Here is a 22310-nt window from a genome sequence, read left to right as displayed (position 1 = left end):
ACTGTGTTCCCAAGTTACCAGCAAAACCTGGCCATGGGTTAATTTAAGTATGTGTTTTCTCATTTCATACACCTTGGGTGGCTTTTGTAGTAATCTGCATCAAAGGTGATGGTGGCCTGAACAAAGCTAGCAGAAGAGGGGCTGTGCTAAAAGCAAAGCCTGAACTTCTTAGCAAGACATATGAAGCTCCTATTATCTCCCCACCCCACCTTTTGCTACTACTACATTTCTTCTAGCACCTCTGTTCCCTGTTACAGACTGAAGGTTTGTATTCCCCTAAAATTTATATGTTGAATCTCTAACTCCCAATGTGACTGTATTTGAACATATGACCTCTGTGGAAATAATTAAGGTTAACAAGGGTGGGGCCCTGATTCCATAGGATTAGTGAGCCTACAAGAAGAGACGGCACATAACTTGCTGTTTCTCTCTCTTTGTGCAGAGGCATTGCACAAAGGCCACATGAGGATGCAGTGAGACGGTGACATCTGCAACCCAGGAAGAGAGCCACACCATGCTGGCACCCTAATGTTAAACTTTCAGCCTACAGGACTGCGAGGAAATAAATTTCTGTTGTTTGAGCCACACAGTTTATATTATTTTGTTATGACAGTCCCTAGACTAAAACATCTCCCTTCTTGAGGCTAAGAGGAAAACACCTATAAAATCATAAGTATATTTATGAAAGCATGTTAGCATTGCAGGAATGCATTAACAATAGCAACATCATTTAATTTTTTAACTTTTAATTTAAAAAATTTTTTAGTAGAGACAGGGTCTCACTATGTTGCTCAGGCTGGTCTTGAACTCCTGGACACAGGGGATCTACTCACCAAAGCCTCCCAAAGTGCTGGGATTATAGGCGTGAGCCACCACACCTGGTCAATAACAGCATCTTTATGTGAGAACAACTCATCCATGCTAAGCTTGAGCCAGCAGCCTCTTTTAATATCATCCTAATAGAGCCAGTATCATGTCAGTGTTTCTTCCCCTCATATGACCAATTCATGGTCTTCTGATAGAACAATTCTAGAAATAAGCAGATATGAATATGTGCTTATCTTGACTTTTCTCCTTAATCAGATGGTCATCTGAAAATCATGAAGATTTCGGGTTATATGGGTTACACTTTCCATCATTTGAAAATTTTCCTTTATATTTTTGTTCTCACTGTTATGGTCTCTGAGGCGTGCAATAGTTCAGATTTCTTTAAAAATTATACTAATAAAAACAATAATAAACACATTAGGAGAAGAAAATCCTAATATAAGATATTCTTTGAACAGAAGGGATTTTAAACCTTGTCAAACATATGATTTGTCTAAACCATTGTAAATGTTAACCTCCCCAACTTCTTGGCCTCACTTCTCACAATCCACCAGTAAAGATTAATATTCTACCTCACAAATTGAAGGTGGGTTCATACTTCAGAGGTGGGCTAGAATTTTATAGTGGCACACTTTTCAAATTCTGATGTTTAAATTTTATATATCAGTTGTTGTAAGAAAGTCACCCTTGGGTCAAATCTGGCCTGCATGTGTGATTTGTTTGATCAGCACAGTGTTTGACAAAAATTGATTTTAATGTCTTTAGGCAGGGCATTCATTCTCTGGTTTTTATCTCTGTTTTCATTCTGTCTCTTCCCCTTGGCTCTTTTACATGTTTACATTCATTGCCTGCTTGATTCCTAAAGCCATTTGAGATTGCAACCCCTGCCCTGGATTAATGTGATATATTTTGTAAATAAACTTTGTATTGAAATAAAACACATAAAGAAAAGTATACAAAATCATAAGTATATAATTTGGTGAATTATTACAAGAGGAACACGCCCACGTAACTACAAGCAAGATCAAGAAATAGAACATTACTAGCTTTAGAAGCCCTCCTGTCTTTGTATTCCTTTCAAAGCAAATTCTAAGACACAGATAAAGCTACAAGTGATTCCAAGAATCACAGCAAATTTATAAACTTTTGATACACATATGTAGCTGCATTGGCTTACTTTTACTTTGTGTTTTGTTTTGTTTCATTATTTTTTATCATTTTACTTTACCATCCTTTTCCTTTTAATTTTAACCTGCATCATTTTATTTATGGTGTACACCTTTTATAAACAAATTAAAATAGGTAATTTAAAAATCTACTCTGACAATCTTGTTATTTTAATGGGAATATTTAGTCCATTTACAATTAATGCAATTACTGATACATTTGAGGTTAAGTGTACTGGCCTATTCTTCTTACTTGTTCTAATAATTCTAATATTTTTTCTCTCCTGTCTTAACTTAGATTGATTTTATATAATATGTATGTATTATAATTGGCCCTTTTTATCTGTGGGTTCCACATCCATGGATTCTATCAACTGCAGATTAAAAATATTAAGAAAGTATAAAATAACAATACAATAATAAAATGATACAAATTTTAAGAATATAGTATAAAAATTTTTATATAGAATTTACATTGCATTAGAAATTATAAGTAATTTAGAGATGACTTAAAGTATACAGGAGGGTGTATGTAGGTTATATGCAAATACTATCTATTTTATGTAAGGGACTTAAGCATCCTCGAATTTTTGTATTGGCAGGGGATTCTGGAACTAATCCTCCATGGATACTGGGGAATAACTCTATATATAAACATATATATTTGCATATTCAAATACTGCATTTTATACCTTCTTTAGCTTGCTAGTAATGTCAGTTTTCATAATTTGGGAGGATTACTTTAGAGATTTTAACACACCTCCTTGACATTAAAATCTAATAGAAATTAGTACTTTTACTACATCCAGGCAATCCAAGGACTTTAACATCTTTAACTACCCAGATCTCTTTATTTTGTTTCATTATAATCATGCATAATTTTGTTTTGAATTTTATTATGAAAAAAATCTTAAACTTACATAAAAGTAGAGAGAATAGTATAAAAAAAATAAAGAATCCAATGTACTCACCACCAACCTCCAACAGTTATCAATATCAATTTTGTACATCTATACATCTCAACCCACCCCCAGCCTCAAATTATTTTGAAGTAAATCCCAGACATGTTATCAGTTTACCTATAAACATTTTGGTATGTATCCTTAAAAACTCCTGAAGCATAAAATACATCATGAGCTAGCATAAATATTTTCATTTCAAATTCAAGATTATGGGGCTTTTACTTAGTCTTATCATTTCATGTGTTTTAATTCTCTTTATATTTGTTTGTTTGCTTGCTGTTGTCCTTTATGGTGCTTTATGTATTTGTGTTTTGATGTCTTTAAAGAGTTTGGGAAAATTATTGGCCACTATAAGTGTTGTTTCTATCCAGTCTGGGCTTTATCTTTTTCTGGGAGTCCTTTTCACTACTTCCATATGCTTTTTATTTTCTTTTTGTATTTTTTGTCCTTTCTTTTTTCATGCTTCAATCTAATTATTTTCTTTGGACCTATATTCCAGTTCAATGATTTCTTCTTTAGCTACATTTAATTTGCCGCTAAGTTTAACTATTGTATTGTAAGCTTCAGTTGTAATTGTCAGTTCCTAAATGTTTTGTTTTATTCCTTTCTAGGACATTCAATCTTCATTATTTTAAAATTTTAGATTCCAGGCATATGTGTGCAGTTTTTTACACAGGCATATTGTAATACACAGGTGTATTGTAACATATTGTAACTAGTGGAGATTGTGATTCCAGTGTACCCATTACCTAAATAGTGAACACTGTAACCAATAGGTAACTTTTCAACTCTTATTCACCTCCCACCTTTCTCTCTTTTGGAGTCCCTAGTGTCTATTATTTCCATCTTTTTATCTATGGATGGATATTTAGCTCCCCCTTATGAAGGAGAACATATGTTATTTTATTTGCTTCTGAGTTATTTTACTTAGTATAATGGCTTCTAGCTTTATCTATGTTTCTGTAAAGGACATGATTTCATTCTTTTTTATAGCTGCATAGTATTCTATGGTGTATATATACCGCAGTTTTTTTTTTTTTTTTTTTTATCAAATCAACCATTGCTGGAGACTGAGCTTCATTGCCTGACTTTGCTAGTGTGAATAGTGCTGCAATGAACATATGAGGGCAAATGTCTTTTTTATATAGTGATTTCATTTCCTTTGGGTAGATACTCAGTAGTGAGATTGCTTGGTGAAATGGAAGATCTGTTTCAAGTCTTCTGAGAAATCTCTATACTGTTTTCTATAGTGGTTGAACTAATTTACATTCCCTCAAAAGTGTGTAAGTCTACCCTTTTCTTCACAGCCTTGCCAGCATCTATTGTTTTTTGATTTTTTAATAATAGCCATTCTGACTGGTGTAAGATGATATCTCATTGTGGTATTACTTTTAATTTCTCTGATGATTAGTGATATTGAGCCTTTTTTCATGTGTTTGTTGGCTGCTAGTATTTCTAATTTTGAGAAATGTCTGTTCATGTCTTTTGCCCAGTTTTTAATGGGGTTGTTTGTTCTTTCTTGTTGATTTGTCTTAGTTCCTTGTATATTTTGGATATTAGTCATTTGTTGGAGAAATAATCTGCAAATACTTCCTCTCCAAATAGGCTGTCTATTTGTTGATTATTTCTTTTGTTGTACAGAAGCTTTTTAATTTAAATAAGTTCCACTTGCCTATTTTTGTTTCTGTTCCATTTGTTTTGGGGGTCTTTGTCATAAATTCTTTGCCTAGTCTAATGTCCAGTAGAGTTTTCCCAGGTTTTTTTCCCTAAGATTTTTAGTTTCAGATCTTACATTTAAGTCTTTGATCTATCTTGAGTTAATGTTTGTATATTGTCATAGGTAGGGTTTCATTCTTCTGCATATGGCTAGCCAATTTTCCCAGCACCATTTATTGAATAAGGTGTCCTTTCCATATTGTTTATTTTTGTCAGCTTTGTTAAAGATGGGTTGGTTGCAGGTATGTGGCATTTTAACTGCTTTCTCTATTCTGTTTCATTGATCTGTGTGTCTATTTTTGTACCAGTATCATGCTGTTTTAGTTACTACAGCCTTGTTGTATAAAGTCAGGCAATGTGGTGCCTCTGGATTTTTTCTTTTGCTTAGAATTACTTTGGCTATGCTAGGCACGGTGGTTCACACCTGTAATCCCAGCACTTTGAGAGGCTGAGGCTGGCAGATCACAAGGTCAAGAGATCAAGACCATCCTGGCCAACATGGTGAAACCCCGTCTCTACTAAAAATACAAAAATTAGCTGGGCATGGTGATGCGCACCTGTAGTCCCAGCTACTCAGGAGGCTGAGGCAGGAGAATCTCTTGAACCCAGGAGGTGTAGGTTGCAGTGAGCCAAGATCGTGCCAATGCACTCCAGCCTGGTGACAGAGCGAGACTCCATTTCAAAAAAAGAAAAGAATTACTTTGGCTATTCAGGGTCTTTTAAAATTCTATATAAACTTTAATCTTGTTTTACTAATTCTCTGAAAAATGGCATTTGTAATATGATAGGGATTGTGTTGAATCTGTAGATTGCTTTGGGAAGTATGGTCATTTTAATGATATTAAATTTTCCAATCCATGAGCATGGGATGTTTTTCCAGTCATGTGTGTTATCTACAATTTCTTTCATCACTTTTTGTAGTTGTCCTTGTAGAGATATTTCATCTCCTTGGTTAAAAGTATTCCTAGGTGTTTTATTATTTTATTTTATTTTATTTTTTGTGGCTATTGTTAAGATCAAGTTCTTGATTTGGTTCTCAGCCTGAAGACTACTGGTGTATAGACATGCTACTGATTTTTATATGTTGATTTTGTATCCTGAAAATTTATTGAAGTTGTTTGTTAAGTCTAGGAGTCTTTTGGAGTCTGTAGAGTGTTTTCTAAGTATACAGTCATGTCATTACTGAACAGAGATAATTTGGTAATTTGACTTTTTTTTCTAGTGTGGATTCCTTTCATTTCTTTTTCTTGCCTGATTGCTCTAGCTAGGACTTTCAGTGCTATGTTGAATAGGAGTGGTGAATGTGGACATCCTCATTGTGTTCCAGTTTTTAGGGATAATGCTTTCAATTTTTCCTCATTCAGTATAATGTTGGCTGTAGGTTTGTAATAGATGGCTCTTATTTTGAGGTATGTTCCTTAGATGCCTAATTTGTTGAGGGTTTTTATTATCAAAAGATGTTGGATTTTATTGACGCCTTATTGTATTGAGATGATCATATGGTTTTTGTTTTTAGTTTTGTTAATGTGGTGAATCATGTCTATTGATTTTATTGATTTGCATATGTTGAATCATCCTTGCATCCATGGAATAAAACTCACTTGATTGTGATGTATTATCTTTTTAACATGCTGTTGGATTTGGTTTGCTGGTATCTTGATGAGAAATTTTGCAACTATGTCCATCAGGGTTATTGGCCTGTAGTGGGTTTTTTTGTATTGTTGTTGTTGTGTCCTTGTATGATTTTGGTATCAGGGTGATACTGGTTTTATAGGAACAGTTAGGAATTGCTTCACATTCATGTTTTGGAATAGATTCAGTAAGATTGGTACCAGCTTTTCTTTGTACATCTGATAAAATTCAGCTGTGAATCTGTCTGGTCTTGAGATTTTTTTTGTTGGAAGATTTTTTATTACTGATGTGATTTTATTACTTGCTATTGGTCTATTCAGGATTTCTACTCTTTCCTGGTTCAATCTTAGGGGGTTGTATGTTTCTGGGATTTATCCATTTCCTCCAGGTTTTCTAGTTTGTGTGCACAGAGGTGTTCATAGTCATCTCTGATGATTTTTTTTTATTTCTATAGTATCAGTTGTAATTTCACTGCATTAGTCCATTCTCACAAGGCTATAAAGAAGTAACTGAGACTGGGTAATTTATAAAGAAAAGAGGTTTAATTGGCTCATAGTTCTGCAGGCTGTGCAGGAAGTATGATGCTGGCATCTGCTTGGCTTCTTGGAGGGGCTCAGGAAGCTTACAATCATAATGGAAGGCAAAGCGAAGAGGGAGCAGGCACATCACATGGCCAGAGAAGAATCAAGAGAGAGAGAGCAGGGGGGTGCAACACCAGATCTCACAAAAGCTCATTCACTATCATGAGGGCAGTAGGCTGGTGCCCAAGGGGGATGGTCCTAAACCATTAATGAGAAATCTGCCTCCATGATATAATCACTTTCCACCAGGCCCTACCTCCAACACGGGGGGATTGTATTTCAACATGCGATTTGGTCTAGGACACACATCCAAACTATGTCAATCATCTTTATCATTTCTGATTGTACTTAATTGAATCATCTCTCCTGTTTCTTGTTTCATCTAGCTAGAAGGCTGCCAATTTCATTTATCTTTTCAAAGATCCAACATTTTGTTTTGTTGACTTTTTGTATCTTTTTTTAAATCTCAATCTCATGTCATTGTGCTCTGATCTTTGTTATTATATTTCTTTTTTTTCTGCTTACTTTGGATTTGGCTTGTTCTCGCTTTCCTTGTTCCTTAGAGGTGTAATGTTAGGTTGTTAATTTGAAATCTTTCTATCTTTTAGTGTAAGCATTGAATTCTATAAACTTTTCTCTTAGAACTGTTTTCACTATATCCCAGAGGTTTTGGTATGTTGTATCTCTACTTTCATTCATTTTGAAATGTTTTTTATTTTTGTCTTAATTTTATTGTTTACCAAAAGGCCATTCAGGAGCAAATTGCTTAGTTTTCATGTTCTTGTGTATTTTTGAAGGTGCCCGTTGGTTTGATTTATAATTTTATTCCACTGTGGTTTAAGAAAACACTTGATATGATTTCAGTTTTTTTTAATTTATTGAGAATTGCTTTATGGCTAAGAATAAAGTCAATTTGGGAGAATGTTCCATGTACAGATGAGAAGAATGTATATTTTACAGTTATTAAATGAAATGTTCTATAAATGTCTATTAGGTCCATTTGGTCTATATATAGTTTAAGTCCAGAGTTTCTTTCTTTCTTTTTATTTTGTTTCGTTTTGTTTTGTTTTTTTAGGAGACAGGGTCTCACTCTTTTGCCCAGGCTGGATTGCAGTGGTGCTTACTGTAACCTCAAACTCCTGCACTCACACAATCCTTCCAGCTCAGCCTTGCAAGTTGCTTAGACTACAGGCATGTGCTACTATGCTTAATTAATTTTTATTTATTTATTCATTTATTTATTTTGTGGAATTGGGTCTCAGTATATTGCCCAAGCTGGTCTTGAACAACTGGCCTCAAACAATCCTACCACCTCAGCCCCTCAAAGTGCTGGGATTACAAGAGTCAGTTACTGTACCCAGAATAAGTCCAGAGATTTTTTGTTGATTTCCTGCCTTGATGATCTGTCTACTGATGTCAGTGGAGTATTGAAGACCACTATTTTTTTTCTATTCATCTTTGTTCTTATATGTAGTCGTAATTTTTGTAAATCTGGGCTCTCCAGTGTTGGTCGTGTATACTTTACAATAGTTCAATCTTCTTGTCGTTTGAACCTTTTATCATTATATGATGCCATTCTTTGTCTTGTTTTTTTATTGTTGGTGGTTTGATGTCTGTTTTATCTAATATAAGAATGGCTACTCCTGCTTGCTTTTTTTCCCATTTGCATGATATATATTTTCCCACCCCTTTACTTTGAGTCTATAGCTGTCTTTAGTCAGTAAGTGGATATCTTGTAGGTAGCAGATAGTTGAGTCTCTTTTTAATCCAATTTTCCACTCTATATTTTAAGTGGAATATTTAGGCCATTTGCATTCAAGATTAATATTAATATGTGAGGTTGTGTTCCTGTCACAGTGTTGTTACTTGGAGTTTCAATTGTGTTGTTGGTTTACAGGATCTGTGAGCTTTGTATCTGTGTGTCCTTTTATGATGATGAGTATTGTTCTTTTGTTTCCATGTTTAGAACTCCTTTGAGCATATCTTGTAAGTCTGGTCTAGTATTGACAAATTCCCTTAGCATTTATTTGTCTGGTTAAGACTTGATTTCTTCTTCATTTATAAAGCTTAGCATGGCAGGATGTGAAAATCTTGGCTGGCACATTTGTTCTTTAAGGAGGCTAAAAATAGGCCCCTGATCTCTTCTGGCATGTAGGGTTTCTGCTGAGAAGTCCACTATTAGTCTTATGAAATTTCCTTTATAGGTGATTAGACACTTCTCTCTGGGCACTCTTAGGATTTTTTCCTTCATGTTGACTTTGGATAGTCTGATGACTATACGTCTTGGTGATGTTCTTCTCACGATGTGTCTTCTAGGAGTTTTTTGAGTTTCTTGTATCTGGGTTTCTAAATCTCTCCCAAAACCAAAGAAGCTTTTCTGAATTATTTCCTCAAATAGGTTTTCCATACTTTTTCTTCTTCACCCTTTGAAATACCTATAAATTGTAGGTTTGGGTGCTTTACATAATCCCGTATTTATCAAAGGCACTAGGCATTTCTTAAAATTCATTTTTCTGTATATTTTTCTTACTGGTTTAATTCAAAAGATGTCTTCTAGTTCTGAAAGTCTTTCTTCCACTTGGTCTAGCCTATTGTTGAAGCTTTCACTTTTATTTTGTTTTTCCTTCAATAATTTTTAAATGTCCGTTTCTTTTATTTTAGTGGTATCTATCTCTTCTTGCATGTCCTGAATTGTTTTCTTTGTGTTGGTTTTCAATTTTTTCTTGGATCTCATTGAGCTTTTTAAAAATCAATATTTTGAGCTCTTTACCTGATATTTCAAATATTTCATCTTGGTTAGAATCCATTACTGGAGAGTTAGTGTGATCCTTTGGGGGTGTTGTAGCACTCTATTTTATTCATACATTCCGAGTTATTTCTCTGGTTCCTTCTCATCCAGATAAGCTATCTCTTCTTATTTTTTTTTAAATTTGCTTTTATTTGGATGTGACTTTTTTCCTCATCTGAGGAGATGTCTATAGTTTATGTTGTGTAAGGTCCTTTGGATTTGGTTCTGGGTGCTTTCAGTGGCAACGAGTCTGTATAAGCGTTTCTTGGTAATGGGTAGTCTTTGTATGGTGGCTTTCCCAAATGCTGGTTGTAGTAGCCGTGTACTGGGTATGTGAGGAGGCTCACTGCCTCCTATAAGGCTGGGTGGCAGAGGTCTCAGGAGGCTTATTACATTTTCCAGTGCTGTGCAGTTATGTCATCAGATTTCTTTTCTTTTCCTTTTTTTTTTTTTAATTTTTTTTAGAGACAGGGTCCCACTTTGTTACCCAGATGGGAGTGCAGTGGCATGATCTTGGCTCACTGCTGCCTTGACCTTCTGGGCACCAATAATTCTCCCACCTCAGCCTCCCTGGCAACTGGGACTACAGGTGTGCATCACCATGCCTGGCTAATTTTAAAAATTTTTTGCAGAGATGGGGGTCTCACTATGTTGCCCAGGTTGGTTACGAATTCCTAAGCTCAAGTGATTTGCCGGCCTTAGCATCCCAAAGTGCTGGGACTACAGGCATAAACCACCATGCCCTGCCTAGATTTCTTTCTTTCTTTTCTTTTCTTTTTTTTTTTTTTTTTTTTTTTTTTTTTTGAGACAGAGTCTGGCTCTGTCATCCAGGCTGGAGTGCAGTGGCACAATCTCGGCTCACTGCAAGCTCCACCTCCTGGGGTCATGCCATTCTCCTGCCTCAGCCTCCCGAGTAGCTGTGACTACAGGCGTCCACCACCACACCCAGCTAATTTTTTGCATTTTTAGTAGAAACCGGGTATCACCGTATTAGCCAGGATGGTCTCGATCTCCTGACCTTGTGATCTGCCCGCCTTGGCCTCCCAAAGTGCTGGGATTACAGGCGTGAGCCACTGTGCCTGGCCCCAGATTTCTTATTGTATTGTGCAGTTCAACCTCCAGGCCAGTAGGTGAAGCTTATGGATAAAGTTCAGCTGCAGCTGACTCAAATGGATATATACTTGATTCTTGTTTACTGGGAGAAGTTCTGCTGACTTGGGCAATGGGCTGATCTGTGAAATGCACAGTGGTCTGAGCTCCCTGCTTAGTTCTGGAGTGGGGGCCAAGATGGGTGGGCTAGACTAAGCAAGCTCTCCTACAGTTCTCCCAATGGCAGGCAGAAGCATTAGCTCTGAGGCAGGGTCTGGTGGGCAGCTGCCAAGTGCCTGGAGATGTGCCTAGGCATAGAGTCTGGAAACCTCCACTGTCCCAAGTTCTCTGCACAGGAAGTGGGGGAAGCTTAAATTCCTAATCTAGAAGAGTTGGTGCTTCAAATGCCTGGAAATATGTCTGGGCATCGAGTGCAGAGAGCTTTGCTCTACCAAGATCTCTGCACGGAGGGGCAGGTCATGCTTCTAATTTAGACAATCAGGTGTGTCAAATGCCTGGAAATATGCCCCAGCAAGGTGGAGAGAGACCACTACTGCCACAAAGTTTTCCTGGGGAATGTAGGAGTAGCTCAAGCTCCTGATCTGGAGGAGCAGGTGCACCTCGAGTTGGGTGATATGTCTGGGGAAAGAGCAGAGAAACTGCAGCCACAAGGTCTTTGCATGGGAGGAAGAGGTGGCTCAAACTCCTAGTCCATTGGGGCAGGTGTGTTAAATGGCTGGAATTACATCCAGGTGTGGAGTGGAGGAACTGCCACTACACCAAGTTCTTTGTGTGGAAAGGGAGTTCTTTGTGTGCTCAAGCTCCACTGTTAAGGGGGCAGGTGCACCAAAAGCCTGGAGATAGGACATTCAACCTTCAATCTTATTTTGTAGCTTCTAAACAGATGAGCAACAGTTATAAATTCTGTATCTTGATAATGCCAATAGATGGATCTCTTGTGCAACTCTTCGTTATCTATTTTTCTCCTCGTTTTTCATCAATTATTGTATTGTTGCCTTCCTGGTTATTTTTTAATCAAGTGCTGAACGTTGTGCATGGAAAATTATAGTTAATTTGATGATGGGATAATGCCTTCTTCCTCCAAAGAAGATTTATTTTTGCACTGGCAGATGGTTTGTGTGCATGCAGAGGTAGATCATCTGATTTCATTCAGGTTTTGGGTTGTATTTAATTTTTTGGTGAGGGCTGATCCATTTTTAGTTCACTCTTACTTGTAGGTTGTATCTTTTCAGCAGTACCAATGGAAACCCTGGAATGTTTATCAAAGCCAGTATGCTTTGGCAAATTAATTTTTGCCCCATCAGTCCAGTGAAACTGCCCAAAGCTCTACTCAGGTTTTCAGCCTTCCAGTTTCTGCTTTTAAATCAGCTAATACTTTAAGGGGATAGTGGTGTCAAATAATGTATTTATCTCATAAAATTTTCTGCTCTATGAAATCTTGGCCCCTCAAGTCTTAATTGTCTTTGGCAGCTATGTGATACCTTCTAACAAATGTTTAAATTTTGTCCAGCTTTTCTAATTATTGTAGGTAGGCGTATTGGCCTAAAACCACTTCAAAATTTTTGCAAGCACAGCACATAATATATGATATGGTTTGACTCTATGTCCCCACCCAAAACTCACCTTGAATTGTAATAACCCCCATGTGTCAAGGGCAGGACCAGGTGGAGGTAATTGGATCATGAGGGCGGTTTCCCTATGCTGTTGTTGTGATAATGAGTGAGTCTCACAAGATCTGATGTTTTATAAGCATCTGGCATTCCCCCTGCTTGCCCTCACTCCACCTTGCTGCCTTGTGAAGAAGGTACCTGCTTCTCCTTTGCCTTCTGCCATGATTGTATTAATAAGTTTCCTCAGGTCTCCCTAGCAATGCAGAACTCTGAGTCAACTAAACCTCTTTCCTTTATAAATTACCCAGTCTCGAGAATTTCTTCATAGCAGTGTGAGAACAGACTAATACAACATACTATTGAGTTATCACTGTATATCTTATGGTTTTATACAATTTAGAATAATTTATTTTTAGCCATGACATATGTAACTATAAATATGAATGTGTATTTTTCTTTGTCTGTTTATCATTGTAACTAGTTCCAGGGTTCTTTTTTAGGGAGCAACTTCCTTTGTTAAAAAAAAAAAAAGCCTGATACTTGTTTTTTGGAAGTTGTGGGGTCTCTGAGATCACGGTTTGGTAGTGGTAAGAACAAAGCAAAACAAAAACAGAGGAAAGTATTAAAATTTTTTGGCACAAGATACTAGACATTTAGAAGAGAGAGCAGAATAGTGAGGCTGAAGCAAGGTAAAACTGAGACATTTCTTTTTTTTTTTTTTTTTTTTTGAGACGGAGTCTCACTCTGTCGCCCAGGCTGGAGTGCAGTGGCATGATCAAAATGAAACATTTCTGATGTCAGCTGAATGTTCTGAGAAAATGAAATATTTGCTCTTAAGATATTTACTTTTCTGTGATACAATATCATTATATTACCTGAAATATTCAGAAAAGTCCTTTAAACAAAGAAAGTCATACTTTTGTGGATGATTTTAAAGAAAATAAAGGAAAGGAGGGTGCTTTGAGTGCCTCGTTAGGGACAGCATGAAACAACCGCAAAAAAAGAGGAGCTCAGAAAGATGAGATACTGGTGAGAGAGAGCAAGAATTTAGTGGAAGGAGGAAGCAAGAAGCAAAAGAGAAGTAAAAATATAAATTCCACAGAATTTGAAGAAATCTTAAGGAGGACATTGACATATGATGGGGGACTCAAACCACATTTTTATATATGTCTCAAAGCACAGGGCCCCTCAGTTGATGCCTGGGTAACTTCTATATGCATACTCAAGACTCAGGTATGTATTCTCACCTCCTTTACCAAAGGATCTGTGATCATGCTAAAATGTGTATGAAGGAAATTTCAATAATATATAAATTCAATCTCAGACCATTGAGCTTCAGTCTTAGACCTTTGGCAATGTTTTTCATTTCAGGAATTCTTCATTTAAAATGCTTCTGACCTGACCCCTAGAGTTTTTCTAGAAACAATTAACAAATAAAAACACTGTCCAGGAGATGTACATGAAATTAAGCCCAGATTAATACAACGATGATGAATTAGAACATACAACTTTTGTCTTTGATAATATGTAGTGAATTTTCAATTATCATTTGTTTATTGTTTATGAAAAAACTTTAAATTTCAAGCTGATATTCTTGCCACCTCTAAATCCTTTCATTCTGAAAGAATATGTAGTTCCATACAACATGCATTACCACACTGTAATCGAAGAAATATAATGAAAATAAGCTGTGGCATCCTCATCCAGGGATATTTGCCTCTAAGCATTTGCTGGATGATCCTAATTACCTCTACTTCTACGGTTATAGGAGTGAAAAATTGGAGTTCTTGTTGGTAGGAAAGATTGAAGAAACTTTCCCCCATCCCAGGTTCCATCTTCAGAACTCTTGCTCCTTTTACCTTCTCTGTATTTTTCACTGGTGCCTTGGATGTTTACCCTGGCCACTGCAGCCCAGCTCAAGCAGGTGGGCTTGTTATACTTTGTTAGAAAGAAAAAGGGGAATTTCAGGTTACTAACAATGTATGGCTAAGATTCTCTTGTAAGTTACAGTGTCATAAATTTTTGAAATATTATGGCTCAAGACTAAATTCTAAAGAGCTCCACTACCATTACTACAGCTGAGATAACAGTACAGGTTGAAATGTACCAAATAGCCCTTTCTGAAAGTCATTTGCCGTCACTCCTTGTAAGCATTTAATATTTAAATTTTTCCTTTTGCATTTTTTTTTCTATAGTCTGATCCAAATTAAGCTAATATAACAGCCATCTTGCTCCCAGAGCTTAGGACTCCAAGTGTGGCTTATGCTGGACCTTCTGTGAATCTCATTTTCTCACTTTCTTTCTGGCCTGTAGAACAGGACTCTTTCCCTGGTTGTGTTTTTCTTTTCCTTTTGAACATGAGCTCTACTCATGTCTTTGGGGCCCTAACTTTCACAGATCATTTTCTTCCTTGAGAATATTTCACCATTCCTCTACTAGGTGTGCTGTGCTCACTCTTCTACTGAATGGTCATTTCCAAAGTCTACACTTAAGCATCCCGATCCTTGAGATTATATTACTTCATTATACTACCCCCAGTAGTGGTGTTACACATCATTTGCATTTCAAAAGCAATGTCCACAGGCTTTAATCTGCAAAGTACTCAAGACTTAACATTAATAATTTAATAGAGATAGTGCTGGTACATTTTCTGGGATGTATTCCTTAAGCTTATAATGCAGGATGATATGGTAATATCACCTTAGTGAACTATGGAGGCTACTGTGTATAAAAACAGGGAAACCCTATAGAACCATTTGGTGATACTGATAATGATATTTCCATTAGTGTAGTGAGTTACTTTTATAATGAAATCTTAGAGGCATTCATATGTGTTAAGTATGCCAGAGGAAATATTCAAATATAGGTTTTATATTCTTTCAGAAATTATTCCCAAATTGACCGATGCGTTACATTTTTTTTTTTTTGATAAAATTCATTAAAAGCAGGAAGCCATAGGGACTTCACATATAGCTTCCTGCCTCTCACTTGCATAGTTACTTACCTGTGATGGCCAGCTGAGTCACAAAGAAGGTCATTCTTGACTTCTTCTTTCTCCTCCATGTGGAAAAAAGCACAACGGAGTTTCCAACAATGGTAAAAACAAAGAGGACCCACAGAGTTATCAATTGCTCAGTCTGCAAGAAACAGAGAAAAATAAAACCAGTGTACCAGTGAGAACTGGAGTTCTTTACAGAATGCCTGCCCCAGGCTGGATTTCTTCCTCCTAGCCACATATCCCTACTTTTGGAAGCTCTACTCTCAAGAAAACAATGACAAAATGGTCTTCATTTACACCAGCTGCAGAGTAAATTAATGCACCTTTTAAAAATCTTTTGGAAATATACGTCAAGAGACAAAAAGTTTGTATTCTTTGGTCAGGTAATTGTAACACTATGTGAAAAGTAGGTCAAGATGTGAAAAAGAACACCCCTGTCAGAAATATGTCCATGTTTATTATAAAAAGAAATTAGAAATTGTTTAAAGATAATAGGGTAGCTAAGTAAATAAAGCACTTCAATTCAGTGAACTATTACAGCATAGCTATTAACAATGACAACCATGAAGACTATGTAGCAATATTAAAAATACCTATAATGGTAAGTGGGAAAACATGATAAAATCATATACTGGGTATGATTACAACTCTGTAAAATTATATACATAGCAAAAAGGCTGAAATACAGTAAAATGTTAAAAGCAGTCATATTAGGGTGTAATTATGGGTTATCTTTTGTTCATTTGACAGAATTTTATAAGACAGTAATATTAAAGTTCTACTGAAGAATGTTTCTGTGGTTTGAATGTGTCCTCCAAGGGTTTATATGTTGAAATTTAATCCCCAAAGCAATGGAGTTAAGGTAGAACCTTTAAGAAGTGACTAGGTCATGAAGGCTGTGCCCTCATGAATAGATTAATGTTGTTATTGTGGGAGTGGATTAGTTATTGCAGGAGTGGGTTACTGATAAAGGAATGAGTTCAGTTCCCCTCCCTTGTCCCTCTCTCACCCTCTCACTTTCTGCCATGGAATGATGCAGCAAGAAAGCCCTCACCAGATACCAGCACCTTCCCAGACCCTGGCACTGTAGAAATAAATTACTTTTCTTTATAAATTACTCAGTCTTGGGTATTCTGTCATAGCAGCATGAAACAGATTAAGATAAATGATTAATTAGTAAAAAAGAAAAAAGCGAGAATGCTATGAATCTGACAGTCCTTCTAAGAAATATTTTTTTTTTTTTTGTGACAGAGTCTCACTCTGTCACCCAGGCTGGAGTGCAGTGGCATGACCTTAGCTCACTGCAAGCTCTGCCTCCCAGGTTCATGCCATTCTCCTGCCTCAGCCTCCCAAGTAGCTGGGACTACAGGCACCCACCACCACGCCCGGCGAATTTTTTTTTGTATTTTTTAGTAGACACAGGGTTTCACCGTGTTAGCCAGGATGGTCTCAATCTCCTGACCTAGTGATCCACCTGCCTCAGCCTCCCAAAGTGCTGGGATTATAGGTGTGAGCCACCGCACCTGGCCTTCTAAGAAATTTTTTATGAGCATCTTCATGAGTCCTACACTTTATCAATCTGATATTTAGGCTCTCCATCCTGGATTTACAGATCAGTTTCTGAGATCCTAGGTGGAGGTCAGGGCCTTGGAACTGCAGAACTGTGGAAATGAGGATAGGCATTGTGGTGATGTGGGGGGAGGATGAGGGCTGTACAACTAGAGTGGGAGGATGACAGGGTTGGAGAGCTCTGCAGATATATCGTGTCCAGCATACATATGTCACTTCCCACTTGGAGGCAGCATCTTTGCTCAGCTTCAAGCCACACACTTTTTCTCTGGTTCTTTGATGACTAGAGGGGTCATATCCTGCATAACTCATTTCTCTAGCAGTCTTGAAATGGGTGATAAAGCATCAAGAATAAAAACTAATTGTTATGCAAAGGACCGTACTGAGTGGAGGGAGTGAGTTTTTGTAAGAGAATTCTCCCATTTGAGATAGATGGACAACAGTGCTGTCAGTAGCAGACACAGCAGGAGAGGCCTTTGATGTCGTAGACTGACACTTCCCATTCAGGTGGTGTGCCAGCAGTGGGACATAAACAAGTGATTTGAATTTGGAGGACCTCTCTTAAAAAACACTGGAACAACTTGCAGACTAACCTAAGCAGCCAGGTGGCTTGGAAGTCTCCATCAGAAGGTCTCACTGACACCATGGTGCTGACAGATGAAACAGTTGAGGGACAGGGTTGGGGATAATGTGTCTATGTTCCTCAAATTGTTCTAATATAATATTCTATCAGGGAGGACGATGGTGCCCTGGGGGTGTCTAGGTTCAGGAAAGAGCCCATCAAGCAGGTGGCCTGGCAGGTAAGGTATGACAGAAGGCCATCAAATACTTTCAGTCTCTGGAATGAGCTTTGGTGTGAATGGCCCAGGGCAGTGCTGTGACACAGGTTCTGGGCCAGCCCTCCTGTGCCAAGCTCTTCAGTAGTTCTCTTTCTTCCCTATTCCTTGTTAACATTCTGAGTCTTCTAGGGAAGCACCCCAATTTTCCAGAAGCTTTTCCACCTGTGTAGCATGAGCTTGGCTATGAGCAGCTGCACATGGCAGAGGCCTTTGGAAAGTGCTTCTCAAAGTATGGTCCATGGCTAGGGTAATTATGTAACCTGGTTTGCCTAGGATAGTCCTAGTTGTCAACTGCTGTCCCAAGATAATTATTTAAATTGCCCTTTCTCTCTCAAAAAGTGTCTTTGGTTGGATAGTCAATTATATAATCACCCTATCCATGGTTCCCAGTGAGTGGGCTCAAAATATCATAGCCCAGTCTATATCAATCCCTAAAGGTGAATTACTCTCTCTCTCTCTCTCTCAGCTTTGAAAGATTTAGGGGATTTAGAGGTTTGGGTTAGTTCATGATGTGATATGGGGTCCCTGGAGACCTTTCCAGAACTGTGCTCATTGAATATGGCACTTCAACGCTAGAGTTAAAGGAGTTCACAGCTCTAGTGGGTCACCTATATCTACTTCCGCAACCCCATGCTGGAGGCTGGGATGGCCTCACCTTTCTGGCTAAGGCCACCCTACATGTCTTTGGCACTGCTAGGAGGCTGAGGAAGTGTTTCAGCACACTATCCAGCTGGAAAAGAGGTGCTATCTATCTCTTCCGCTGCTGCTGTTCATCCACGTGGGAGAAGAAACTGAATCCACAAGGCCCTGCATACCTCTACTTACCTTGTAGTTGCCTGATGTTGCAACATGTTCATGGATGTAGGGTGAAGGGTGTCCTGAGGTCAAAGTTAACAGCAGTTGACTGGAGCTAAAACTGTCAAAGGGGCAAAGTTCCATCCTCACCCCTGTGCCCAAAATGACAGGAAAATACAGCTGTGCATCAATCTTCTATGGCCCCTGCCAGCTGGAACCATCCTCCAGGAATGGGTAACCAAAAAGAATGTTGGCATTTCCCATCCTAGTAAAGGGAAGATTGAGACCCAGCTCTCCCTCAGGTTGGGACTTGGTCTGGGGATGGAGGCAGGGCAGAACTTGAGCCTACAGAATGAAGAGCTGAAAGGGTCCCAAAGGATTGTGTCAAGAAGTGGAAGAAATCAAGAGTTTAGGACTATGCAGACGATCTGCCTGACACAAAATATACAACATAAAAAGTGCACAATATATATACATACACATTACTTAGTAATCATAGAGTAAAAGCCCATATAATTATTACCAACATCATTAAAAAAAAAAAAAACCTTTATCAACACCAGAAAGCCCTTCCTGTGCCCCATGTAAAACTCTATTCTGTCTCTTCTAGAAATTACCTCTAACCTGATTTCTACTTATTTAATATTTACTGTTACCACTTATACATGCATCCAAAAAGAGTGCTGCCTGTTTTCCAGCTTTATAGAGTAGTTTTATGCTATGTGTTTCTTTTGTCTTGACTCTTTGGTTTATGATTGCAATATTCGTTCTTGTGATTGCAAAGAGCTGCAGGTTTTTCATTTTTATTCCTATATAGTACTCCATGGTGTGACTATGCTGCGATTTATTGATCTCATGTATTTGATAGACAGTTGGGTGGTTTCCAGTTTGAAGCTATCAGAAACAATGCTATAGGGTACCGTACTTTTTTTCTCTAGTACATATTCTAGGTATGGAAATGCTGGGACATGGGAGAAACAAATCTTAAACTTGACTAGGATATGCCATGATGCTCTCTTTAGTGGTTCTGGGTAGCTTTACAGTTTTCTTCACATTTTTTATTCCTAAGTGTTTTATATTTTAAAATTTCTATTTTAAATGACATATTTCATTTACACCATTGTATTTCTCTAACTGGGTAATGTTGGTTTATATAAAAATAACTTACTTTCATATATGTACTTTGAAGCCAGCCAAGATATAAATTGTTTCACTAATCTTAATTGTCATTTCATTAAGTCTTTTGTATTTTTAGTGGAGATTATCATATCAATGGCAAATAATTTTCTTTCCGACTTTCAAAGATTATTTATATTTCCCATTTTTTTGCATTGGTTAGAAGTTTCAGAACAATGATGAGGTTATAATATGATAGAAGGCATTCTTGTTATGCATAAAATCAATAAGGTTTTCTCTGGTGGTTTATCTATTATGGTCATATCATGTGAGCTTTGTAAATATTTGCTATGCAATTCTTTACATAACATTTCTGCAATTATTTTTATACTGTTGATGAATTATCTAGATAAGATCAATTTTTGATATTTTTTATCTCATTTGTGATCAATTTTAACATTTTGTATTTAGTATTAGGATTAGTTTATTTCTAACTAGTAGTAGCACCATTTCAGTTTATACTTATAAATAAAACTGTTGCATATTATTATTTAAATGATTTCTATACTAATTTTAAAGTTTACCTTTTATTACTAATAATTTTTGTTTACACATTTTAATGAAATATTTTTATTTGGCTTGTGATTTTATGTCTATTTCATCTTCAATTACATAACTTACAGTAAGTCCTCACTTATCATCATCAATAGGTTCTTGGAAACTGTGACTTTAAGTGAAACGAACTAGCAGGCCCAGAATAACATCATTTCCTTCAACATTATGCCATTGATAAGAAAAAGAAAAATCACTGGTTTTATTATATGTAGTTTCGCTTAAAGTCACAGTTTCCGAGAACTTATCAAAACACTCGGATGATAAGTGAGGGCTTACTGTTCTTTTCTTTCATAACTCTTTTTGCCTTGAACTATTTCCTAATATTAATTTTGCCATACTTGATTGAATCATATTTCTATTTTAATGGTATATCTTTGTTTATCTATATATTTCTAACTATGTTGTTTCATTTGCTACCAAGTATTTCTCCTGTAAGTAGAATATAATTTTTGTTTTTGACTTAAACTGACAGTCTATTTTTAATAATGACACTGATTCATTGTAATTTATTGTGTAACTGATATGTAAGATCTTACAAGGTTTTTAAAGTTTGTTTTTGTACTTTAAAAATATTTTCTTTGTCATTTGTGTTTTTATTTTAATTTGTTCACTAGTAATTTGAAACAGTTATTCTCTTTTATCGCATGTTAACTTTAAAAAATTTAAGACATTGAATGCTTAATTTTTAAGTAACCATTAAAAATCATTCAAATTTGACTTCACACTGAGAAATAAAATTAATTAAGAGGCTTTAAAACTATTTTATTTCCCCAACCCCAGGTTCTGTTAAAATAATCTGTGATTTTAAAATTTAGATTATTAGCATATTCTAGTATAACATACTTCTCTTTTCGGGAGATCATATTCTGCTTTCCATTGTTTACAGTGAAGTTTATAAGAATTTCTTTTTTTTTTCTTTTTTCTTTTTTTTGAGACAGAGTCTAGTTCTGTCACCCAGGCTGGAGTGCAGTGGCGCAATCTCGGCTCACTGCAAGCTCCGCCTGCCGGGTTCACGCCATTCTCCTGCCTCAGCCTCCCGAGTAGATGGGACTGCAGGCAACCACCACCATGCCCAGCTAATTTTTTGTATTTTTAGTAGAGACGGGGTTTCACTGTGTTAGCCAAGATGGTCTCGATCTCCTGACCTCATGATCCACCCTCCTGGGCCTCCCAAAGTGCTGAGATTACAGATGTGAGCCACCGCGCCCGGCCACTGTGTCCCTTTTCTTAATGCAATGTCCTTTCAAGCTCTGCTGAGAATACAAGTAAGAGATTTTCCAAGATTTACTCCTGTTTCTTTTAGGGGATCTGTTTCATAAAGAGAAGCATGTTAATGCCTTAAAGCAATTTCTTCTTTAAAAATTGCAATTAGCTGGTCGTGGTGGTGCGTGCTTGTAGTCCCAGCTACTCGGGAGGCTGAGCCAGGAGAATCGCTTGAACCCGGGAGGCGGAGGTTGCAGTGAGCTGAGATGGCGCCACTGCACTCCAGCCTGGAGATAGAATGAGACTCTGTCAAAAAAAAAAAAAAAAAAAAAAAAGAATTGCAAAGCCTTGTATCATATCCAGCATTTTTTCTGAGCCTGGATGGTGCTGGGGGATGGTTTATTTCTTGCACTTGTCCAGAACTGTATTGGTCTCTGTTGAACTTTCATTCTTGGATGAAGAAGGAAGAGAAAAGTTAAAGCACTTGTGATGTTTCTTTGCCAGATCAGAAATCCACGTCTCCATGGTGGGAGAGGTGAGAACAATGTCTGGGAGCAGCCAAAGAAGGAGGCAAGGGTGGAATGTGAGGAAGATAGTAGATACAGGACTGTTTTCCTTACTGAGGCTCTGTCTTCACTGGCACCATCCATGGCCTCGCCCAAGTTTTACTTAGCCAGCTGTCCACACTCCTTTAGCTGGGAGAAGGCACTGGCCAAAATCCTTTTTTGTGAGGTCTGCAGCATTCAGTAAACCTCCCACAGAAATTTGCTCACTGGAGATGG

General features: G+C 37.2%; 1 protein-coding gene and 1 long non-coding RNA gene across 7 annotated transcripts in view; one reads left to right on the top strand and one right to left on the bottom strand.

Annotated features, from left to right (window-relative positions):
• NPSR1-AS1 (NPSR1 antisense RNA 1) overlaps window positions 1–22310 on the top strand; it is a 487820-nt gene that overhangs the window by 134250 nt on the left and 331260 nt on the right. The gene's annotated exons all lie outside the window — the stretch shown is intronic.
• The window catches only part of NPSR1 (neuropeptide S receptor 1), a 220115-nt gene that overhangs the window by 178251 nt on the left and 19554 nt on the right, over window positions 1–22310 (bottom strand). For all 5 annotated transcript variants that reach the window (NM_207173.2, NM_001300933.2, NM_001300935.2 and 2 more), the window contains exon 2: window positions 15398–15530. In NM_207173.2, the coding sequence (NP_997056.1) occupies window positions 15398–15530 (133 nt within the window). The remainder of the gene's footprint in view (window positions 1–15397; window positions 15531–22310) is intronic.

This window comes from Homo sapiens, chromosome 7 (genome assembly GCF_000001405.40).
Source record: "Homo sapiens chromosome 7, GRCh38.p14 Primary Assembly".
Classification (NCBI taxonomy): domain Eukaryota; kingdom Metazoa; phylum Chordata; class Mammalia; order Primates; family Hominidae; genus Homo; species Homo sapiens.
Note: the sequence above shows the minus strand (reverse complement) of the source record. Positions and strands in the feature narration are given on the sequence as shown.